Here is a 10,610-nt window from a genome sequence, read left to right on the forward strand (position 1 = left end):
CCTTCTTAAGAATTACCCACAAAGTTCCTAGAGGGAAGATAAGAGGAGAGCTTGAGAGTCATGTGAGGGAAAGGAAGTTCCATTAAATCAAAGCTGTCTACTCTATACTTACTATATCACAGCCAATCAACCAACACTTCCATGGCTATTTTAATCAAGCTACCACTCAGAGAGAGCCACAGCATCTTATAGGGCCAGAAATCAGATGTAAACATCTCTCCCAGTCATACTAGGGCAGAAGCCTCAGTGGTTTAACAAGTTCCACTGAAATTTGGATTCCCAGAGCTCCAGCAAATCTGCCCCCAAAGTGGTTCACATCTTTTTTAAAAAGACAGAAAGTAGAATGCAGAATCATATATGGGGCATCACAGAGAATAAAAAGATTTTTAATTTTGAATAACCTCTTGAGCAACTTGTTCCTCATACTGTGCCTTTAAAACAGGTAAGTAAAAATATTGTAGCGAGCTGATTTATTAGAACTTCAATATACTGAGGACGATATTTTAATTAGTTTTGTTTTGGCTGGAAGGAAAAGGCTTTGGCATGTAAGGTATTAGATCCTCTTTAATTGGGAGGTCACATAATAGTATCTCAGAAAGAGCTGAAATTAACAATTTATATGAAAATTGAAAGAAAATATGCCCTCAAAATGATACTGGAGAGTAAAATTGGGCCGTAGATGGTAAGTGATTAAGTATGATGAATAAACAAAAAAAAGGTAAATTCTGATCATTAAGAAAAACTCGTACTATCATTGAAAATAATAGAAAAGCTAGCAACTCTTTTTTGCAAGTAGGGAATATTTTTTCTTTTCGTAAACTTTCAGGTGTTGACAGAACATGCAAATAAACATACCATGTTGACAATTGAAGAAGGAACTGCAGAGAGACAGAATTAGTGATCATAATTAGATATTAGGAAAATCTCCATGTAAAACTTACCATTAAACAATAATACAACGGAGATCTTACAGAAATGAGGAAGAAGTCCTTAGAAGATGTCCATAGCCAAGGGAATAAAGAAAATGTAAATAATTTAGAAAATTCAATATGAGTATTCTAAACAGTAGAGAAAGCAGAATAGCAAGCTTCCAAATCCAGATGGCAGCTAAAAATATAAATTCAAATAGAGGAATTTTAAAACTAGATTAAATTTTAAAACTAGATTAAAACTAGAAATTTTAAATTTTAAGTTTTAAATTTTAAAACTTAAGTTTTTAAGAAATTTTAAAACTAGATTAAATTGGATTTGCTATATGTCCTTGATTATTTCAGAGTGAAATATATTTGAGTTCAAGAAGCTGGACAGTACTAGAAAACTGTATTTAAAAATACTAAATTAAATTATTTAAGAGAATTGTAACTTTAGGGAGAAAACAAAAAAGTGTAAAATAGTTGAATTTTTATTGCATATAATTCATATACTAAAAAATTCACCCATTTTAAGTAGACATTTCAATTATTATTATATTTGCATAGTTGTGCAACCATCACCACAATCTTATCAATCCATTTTCATCACCACAAAAAGAAACATCATGCCCATTTACAGCAAGCTTTGGCCAAAAGCTAGCACTAATATCCTTTCTGTCTCTATAGATTTGCCTTTACTGGACATTTTCTTTTTTTTTTTAATTTTATTATTATTATACTTAAGTTTTAGGGTACATGTGCTTTTCTATAAGTAGAATTATATAGCCTGTGGTCTTTTGTGTCAGACTTATTTTACTAAGCATAATGGTTTTGAGATTCATCTGTTTTAGTATAATTAGGTATAATTTTTTTAAAATAATAAAATCAGTCAAAATTGAAATTATTTTCTTCAAATGGCTAGAAGAAAAAGAAAAGCAAATATTTACTTTAGCAAATTATTTTTATATTAAGTAATACGTATCATATATGCATGGGCAAGAGCAGAAATGTTTATATTCAACTACTTAATAAAATGAGTCTCGGTTAATTCCTTTCATAAGAGGGGTTTATACGAAAAATTCCCAGGATTGTAATCTTGGATTTACACAAATGACATAGATTCAACACATACCCCCTCAGTGCCAATCTTCTGCCTTGCCAGGAGTTTATACCCACACCATCTCACCTAATACTCATGACCTCTTGGGGGTGGTTCTGCCTCTATGACCTGGGAAGATTTACTTAATTATGTGGATCTTGATTTTTCATTTACTAAACAAGATGTGTAGAATAATAGATTACGAAGTTCCCTCTCAGCCCTAATATATTATTCTACTTTCAATTTCCTTCAGAGCATATCATAAATTATTTAGTAAAAGTAATTATTATAAAATGTACAATTGATTATTCAATGGAAAGAAAATTGTTCTCATTAATAGAATTATCTAAGCCATATGATAATTTATTTTCATTAATCTACATAGCTTTTGTACACTCAAGTATAATAATAGGTATACTGTATTAAGTGTAGACTAGAGAAACAGTTTTAGAAAGCATGCTTACAAAGGGAGAAGAGTAATAAGAGAAGCAAATGCTGAGAAAGCCATCAACATAAATTAATGCCAGCTTTTCCTCTGAAATAAAAGGCCAAAATAAAGCTTTTTAAATCAACTTATGTTTAATTGTATTGATTTCTTACCCAAGTTTTTCTGTTGTCACTGTATCACAGGGCATAAAATCCCATGTAGCAAAGCTATTCACCCTCAAATTACAGCTGTTATCTTCATTCTGTCTAGCAATTGTCAACTCTTGTTGTTTTCCCAAGTATATCTAGTTATTGTTACTGCTGTTATAAAAGTCTCAAAAGCAAAATTCTTGCTCCTTTACATGACAAGCATGCAACACAACCCTGTAAAGCAGGTGTGGCCACCCATGCAGCCTCCTCCAGGGCCACAGCCTGTCATTGAGTACCCATTCAGTGTGTTCCTACAGGTTGACCTACAGGAACCTTACATCATCTTTATTTTCTCTAATTTGTTACCATTATCCATTTCTCAAAAATATCTAAGATATGAAAACAATAGAGGCAGTTACGTTTGGATGATGATAATACAATATTTTGACAGAAAACTGAGGAAGAATGCAAACAAGGAGAGAATTACAGGTCATTGGAGAAAAGAAACCAGTCACTTCCTATTCATCGAAATATCTTAATCCAGTCTCCTTTCTAAACATGTCACTCTTGATATGCACTGCTCATCTAAATATCTTAATCTAGTCTCCTTTCTAAACATATCACTCTTGATATGCACTGCTCTTCATTCTTTTCCTTTTATAGATGCTCACACATTTTCTACTCCTCATTCTTTTTTGTTTGCTTACCATAAAACTTGGTTTTTACAAGTGTTTTGAAGATAATACAACCAAGCCTGAAGTCATATCTAAAAGTGTCACTTGAAATTGATCTCTGTTTTTCTGAACCTCTTAAGACATTTTGCATATACCTTGTACCAAATTACATGTGTTCTCACATGGCTCATTTGCTATTTTTTGTTTGATAATCATGTCTCTCTAGATTGTAAACTCTCTAGATATAGGGCATTCATTCTGTATGAGAAAATAATGCAGTTAATTGTAACATAGAGGGATGATCCCAACATACTTGTTGAATCATATCCCCAAACCCACTCATATGGACCATACAAATTCAATCAATAATTAATACTTTGGCTGTAAATATATAGCAATTTAATTTTTGAGACAATACGGTGTATTGGTATAAGCCCAGGTTCTGGTGTCAAACTAACTCAGCTTGAATACTAGCTCTCATCCATGTTAGCTGTGTAACCATGAATACGTCATTAACTATTTGAATGTCACAGTTTCCTTACATGCAACATGAAGAAAAAAATAGCACTTACATCATGGTATGAGCATTAAAAAAATTAATGTATATGAAACACTTAGAATGGAGCCTGGCACATACTAATCACTTAATTGTTGTTGACCACTTTCGATCACTCTAGATTCTATGAACATTGTCTAAAAAACTGAGTAACAATGATTTAGTGTTAAACTTTACATCCAAACAGAAGTAATACATTGGACTAAATCACTTTACTATTTACTTCTAAACCACCACATCTGTACACATATACACAATGCACAAGCTCCTCACTGTGAACAATGGTAACACAGAGGATTTGAAAAAACAAGCGCAAACCATCTGAAGCTGAGTCCATGTTTCTTGTAATTCTCAGTACAGGGATACCTGAGAGATATTGCTGGTTTGGTTCCAGACCACTACAATAAAGTGAATTTCACAATAAAGTGAGTCACAATTTTTTTGGTTTCCTAGTACATATAAAAGTTATGTTTATACTTTACTGTGGTCTATTAAGTATGTAATAGCGTTATGGATAAAAAACACACATACCCTAATTTTTAAAAGTGTTAACGGTTATCTGAGCCTTTAACAAGATGTAATCTTTTTGCCACTGGACAGTCTTGCCTCAATGTTGATGAGTGCTGACTGATCAGGGAATTGGTTGCTGACAGTTGCAATGAATGTGGCAATTTCTTAAAATAAGACAATAATAAAATTTGCCACATCAATTGACTCCTTATTTCACAAACTATTTATTTGTAGTATATGATGCTATTCGACAGCATACAACCCAAATTAGAACTTATTTCAAAATTGGAGCCAATCATCTTAAACCTTGCTGCTACTTTATCACCTACACTTATGGAATATTCTAAATCCTTTGTTGTCATTTCAACAGTGTTCACAGCATCCTCACCAGGAGGAGGTTCCATTCCCACCACCCCCCAAAGAAAACAGTTTATTTGCTCATTCATAAGAAACAACTTCTCATGTTTTAAAGTTTTGTCATGATATTGCAGCAATTCAGTCACATCTTCAGGACTCTCTTCTAATTCAAGATCTCTTGCTATTTCTACCACATTTGCAATTACCTTCTCCGTGGAAAGCCTTCTTCATGGGAAGTCTTCTCCATGTAAGTCTTGAACTCTTCAAAGTAATCCATGAGGACTGGAATCAGCTTCTTCCAAACTCCTGTTAATGTTGAGGTTTTGATCTCCTCCCATGAATCATAAATGTTCTTAGTGGCATCTAAAATGGCGAATTATTTCCTGCAAGTTTTAAGTTTACTTTGCCCAAATCCATCAGAGAAATCATTGTCCCTATGGCAGCTATAGCCTTATAAAATTTCTTAAATAATAAGATTGAAAATGAAAATTACTCCTTGCTCCATGGGCTGCAGAATGGATGTTAAATCAGCACACACGAAAGCAGCATTAATTGGATTGCACATCTCTGGCAGAGCTCTTGCATAACTAGGTTCATTGCCAATGAGCAGTAATGTTTTCAAATGAATCTTTTTTTTCTGAGCAGCAATTCTCAGCAGTGGTCTTCAAATATCCAGTAAACCATGCTGTAGACAAATGTGCTGTCATGCAAGCTTTGCTGTTCCATTTACAGAGCACAGGCAGAGTAGATTTATCGTAATTCATAAAGGCCTTGGATTTTTGGAATGGTAAATGAGCATTAGCCTCAACTTAAAATCAACAGCTACATTAGCCTTTAACAGAAGAATCAGCCTGTTTTTTGAAGTTTTGAAATCAGACATTGGTTTCTCCTCTCTAGCTATCAAAATCCTAGACAGCGTCTTCTTCCAACAGAAAGCTGTTTCATCTATATTGAAAATCTGTTGTTTAGCATAGCCATCTTTATCAATGATCTTAGTCAGATATTCTGGATAACTTTCGGCAGCTTCTATATCAGCACTTGCTGCTTCACCTTGTAGTTTTATGTAATAAGAATGGCTTCTTTCTTTCAACCTCATGAACTAACCTCTGCTAGCTTCAAACTTTTATTCTGCAACTTTCTCTCCTCTCCCAGATTTCACAGAATTGAAGAGAGTTAGGGTCTTGCCCTGGATTAGGCTTTGGCTTAAGGGAATGTTGTAGCTGATTTGAACTTTTATCCAGATCCCTAAAACTTTCTCCATATCAGCAATAAAGATGGTTCACTTTGTTATCATTCATGAGTTCACTGGAGTAGCACTTTTAATTTCCTTTGAGAACTTTTTCTTTGCATTCACAATTGACTAATTGTTTGGTGCAAGAGGACTAGCTTTCAGCCTGTCTCAGCTTTAGACATACTTTCCTCACTAAGCTTAATCACTTCTGGCTTAAAAAACTTTTTTACAGACTTTATTGTTTGGGGCAGTTTTAAGTTCACAGCAAAATTGAGCAGGAAGTACAAGAGTTCCCGTGTGCCCTCTGATGCCACATACAGTCTCCCCCACCCTTAACAACCTGAACCAGAGTGGTACATTCGTTACCGCTGGTGAGCCTACATTGCACATTATTATCTCCCCAAATTTGTAGTTTACATTAGGATTTACTCTTGATGTTATACATGCTATGGGTTTTGACAAATGTGTTATGTATTTCTAAGTATAGTAGATAAGAATTGTTTCAATACCCTGCAAATTCTCCGTACTTCTCTTATTTCTTCATTTCTCCTTCTTCATTCAAACCCCTGGAAACCACTGAACGTTTAACTGTCTCCAGTTTTTTCTTAGTTTATTTCAAATAAAAGACATGCAACTTTTCCTTTTACTTGAACACTTAGAGGCTATTGCAAAGCTATTAATTGGCCTAAATCCAATATTGTTGTATCTCAAAGAATAGAGAGGCCTGAAGAGAAGGAGAGAGATGAGGGAAGAGTAGGTTGGTGGAGCCGTTAGAAACAACATTTATCAATTGTCTGCCATTCTACATGGGCACGGCTTGTGGTGCCCAAAAATAATGAAAATAGTAACATAAAAGATTACTGGTCACAGATCAAATAACGTGTAATAATAATAATAAAGTTTGAAATAAATATTTTGGGAATTACCAAAATGTGACACAGAGACATAAAGTGAGCACATGCTGTTGGAAAAATGGTGCCAATAGACTTGCTGGATCCAGGGTTGTCACAAACCCTCAGTTTATAAAACATTAAATAACTGCAAAGGACAATAAAGTGAAACACAATAAAAGAGGTATACATGTATATTAAAAAGAAAAATTATTTTAAATAAATTTATATACTTTCATCCATGTATAATTTGCTCCTGATTTGTGTGTGTGTGTGTGTGTGCTTTTTGTTTGTTTGTTTGCTTATTTAGTTTAGAACCATAGAAAAACCTTCATAAATTACTTCAGAGATGTAGAACAATGTAATTCTTCATTTTCTAAATCTTGTATTCCTTATATATTGGGATAACATAATCTCAAGAAGTGCAGGTACAGAATACTATAATAATAAAAGGCAAAATAAAAAGTAATTAATTAGTATCTAATCTTTATATGTGAACAAATGAGTAAGAAAGTCAAGATCCATTGATAAGAGTATGATTTTATGGAATAAACAATAGAAAATGGAACTTCTACTTCTTCAAATGATTTGTAATTACTGCAGAGTAATTGTTTCAAAGTGATATAATATTTAAGCTAATCTCTGTGTTGATATATTTAAAATTATATGATCTCATATCATCAACTATTATCACCAACTAATAGAAATAAGAAAATATTGGTGTTAACTGTGACTTATTTTTTAATTCTCTTTGTATATAAAGAACTTCTGGAACCTTTCTGAGTTGAGTAAATGGATCTTAAAAATGGATCTCTAGTGACCGAGTTTATTTTACTAGGATTTTTTGGACGATGGGAACTTCAAATTTTCTTCTTTGTGACATTTTCCCTGATCTACGGTGCTACTGTGATGGGAAACATTCTCATTATGGTCACAGTGACATGTAGGTCAACCCTTCATTCTCCCTTGTACTTTCTCCTTGGAAATCTCTCTTTTTTGGACATGTGTCTCTCCACTGCCACAACACCCAAGATGATCATAGATTTGCTCACTGACCACAAGACCATCTCTGTGTGGGGCTGCGTGACCCAGATGTTCTTCATGCACTTCTTTGGGGGTGCTGAGATGACTCTTCTGATAATCATGGCCTTTGACAGGTATGTAGCCATATGTAAACCCCTGCACTATAGGACAATCATGAGCCACAAGCTGCTAAAGGGGTTTGCGATACTTTCATGGATAATTGGTTTTTTACACTCCATAAGCCAGATAGTTTTAACAATGAACTTGCCTTTCTGTGGCCACAATGTCATAAACAACATATTTTGTGATCTTCCCCTTGTGATCAAGCTTGCTTGCATTGAAACATACACCCTGGAATTATTTGTCATTGCTGACAGCGGGCTGCTCTCTTTCACCTGTTTCATCCTCTTGCTTGTTTCTTACATTGTCATCCTGGTCAGTGTACCAAAAAAATCATCACATGGGCTCTCCAAGGCGCTGTCCACATTGTCTGCCCACATCATTGTGGTCACTCTGTTCTTTGGACCTTGTATTTTTATCTATGTTTGGCCATTCAGTAGTTTGGCAAGCAATAAAACTCTTGCCGTATTTTATACAGTTATCACACCCTTACTGAATCCGAGTATTTATACCCTGAGAAATAAGAAAATGCAAGAGGCCATAAGAAAATTACGGTTCCAATATGTTAGTTCTGCACAGAATTTCTAGATGTTAGCACTATATAATTAACTTTTAAATGCTACGATAAGATAGTTTGAATAGATTATGTATAATGCATCATTTCACTTTTCTTATGTTATAATAATAACGCATAAAGACAATACTAAATTACTTTAAATTTTACATTTAAGACTTTTATAAACATAAGGATAGAGATCTGCAGCAAAATAGACATAAAAATAGACATAAATAAACATAAAAAGATTATTGAGGATTTTTATCATATACATTCAATATATTCATTAATAAAGAAACAACTGTAAATGAATACATGAAGATATGAATATTATTAGAGGTTATTTTAATATATATTGATAATGTTATTCATAAATTTATACTATTATTAAATGAGGTATCATGAACAAGTCATGAATTAAATAATGTTAACAGAAAAAGCAATTCTAGTTTCTTGAATCAATGGAGGCAAAAAGTAAGAATGAGTCCACAAATTCAACAGCACAGTGACTATAAGATGCCAGAGAAAAATGCCAATGGAACGACAATTTTAGTAGAACTACAAACGAACAGCCCTTTTTGAAACCAAATGCTCTGAGGAATATAAGTAAACACAGCTGACTTTCAAACTTCAATAAATAAAAATAAAAACAAAATCCTTTTTATTTTGTGTAATATACCATGTAGCTTTACCTTTTTAAGGGCTTTACATAAAATTACAGCTAAATTTTCCTCTGGTAGGATTCCAACCTTTACTGATTTATAAGCTAAATCTGATGTTTGTGCATGTTGGAGAGGGAAGTGAGAAGTGCATTCAAAATTTGAAATAGTATGCATTGATAATTAAGCTTATTTTCTCTTAATTAAAGACACCATCATTTCTTGCTTATGCTAGGTGAGCTTTGTAATTAATCCTAAATCAGTTACATAAATCCTTTCTTCCATTCAATGCATTCTCTATAAGCAGCCAGAGTTAGGTCATAAAAATGTAACTCTCAATGTCATTTTCTGGATTAAAACTATTTTATGGCATGAAGACTTAGGTTCAAATTCTCAACTGGCCTTCATAATATGGCTTGCTTCTGGAATTTTGCTCCAATCTATCCTTTTCCATAATAGTAGAGTTACACTGGCCTTCTTTCAAGTTGTTCAAAACACCAGACATCTTGTTAACTGACTTTTTCTAAACTCTTCCCTTTAGGTAAAAGAATCTTTCATCTCCTCTTCACCAAGGTAATAACCTCTCAGAAGACCCAGATGAAATATTATATTTTAGATCACTTTTCCTACATGTTCTTTGCCAGTTTAGATTTCTTTATTTTACTCATTTATGGCATGCTACAATTTCCATCCTTCTCATATATTATGGTAATAATTGCTTGTGTAATTATATGTTAATATCTGCTTTGTCTTAGCCTATGAATTCTATAGATCTCTAATATCTAGCACAGATATTGATACATAGTAGTTCATACCTAATGAATAAAGAAAAGATGAAATAACCATATTCTAGAATAATAATATTCAATTTAACCTACTACTATGGAGAACATGTATTCTTACTGTGAGATGTGATGTGTTAAAAATATTAGAAGTACACAAGGCATATGGTGCTCGTATACTTCAATAATGGAACTACAGGGATTAGAGCTCTGTAACTAAATCCAAAGAGAATCAAATACATAATAAATTTAAAGCAAATGGGAGAAGAAATACTGCAAGTTTAGAATACTTGCTATTACAAACTACATTGGACTCTTTGCTACATAGTAAACTGCAACAACAAGAAACTTCACAGTCATACATTATAGCACCACCCATATTAAGGAAATTTCAATCATTTAAAAGGTAAAATATGCATCCGCTGGTAGATAAGATTATTTTCTAGTTGATAAAATACTGTGTAAGATTTTTGTATCTGTCAGTATAGCACACTCAGGATCCTAAAACTTTTTAGTTACAAAACATCTATGTTTGCTAAGATTATTTAAAACATCTTTTAAATCACTTAAAGCTATTGAAAAAAAATTAAAGTAAATCACACCTGAGGCCCAGTATAAAACTTGAATTCCATTCCAGGAAGGTAAAGCAGCACTGAACCATTGCTC

The 10,610-nt window shown here is 33.2% G+C and overlaps 1 protein-coding gene across 1 annotated transcript; it reads left to right on the plus strand.

The window, feature by feature from the left end:
* Positions 1 to 7,596: 7,596 nt before the first annotated feature.
* On the plus strand, positions 7,597 to 8,535 carry OR4L1 (olfactory receptor family 4 subfamily L member 1). The gene has a single exon (NM_001004717.1). The coding sequence runs from the start codon at positions 7,597 to 7,599 to the stop codon at positions 8,533 to 8,535; it is 939 nt and encodes a 312-aa protein (NP_001004717.1).
* Positions 8,536 to 10,610: the final 2,075 nt, after the last annotated feature.

Source organism: Homo sapiens, chromosome 14 (genome assembly GCF_000001405.40).
Source record: "Homo sapiens chromosome 14, GRCh38.p14 Primary Assembly".
NCBI lineage: Eukaryota > Metazoa > Chordata > Mammalia > Primates > Hominidae > Homo > Homo sapiens.

Excerpts from the sequence above, each read along its gene's own strand:
- OR4L1 (NM_001004717.1), top strand. The coding sequence starts at position 7,597 with ATGGATCTTAAAAATGGATCTCTAGTGACCGAGTTTATTTTACTAGGA.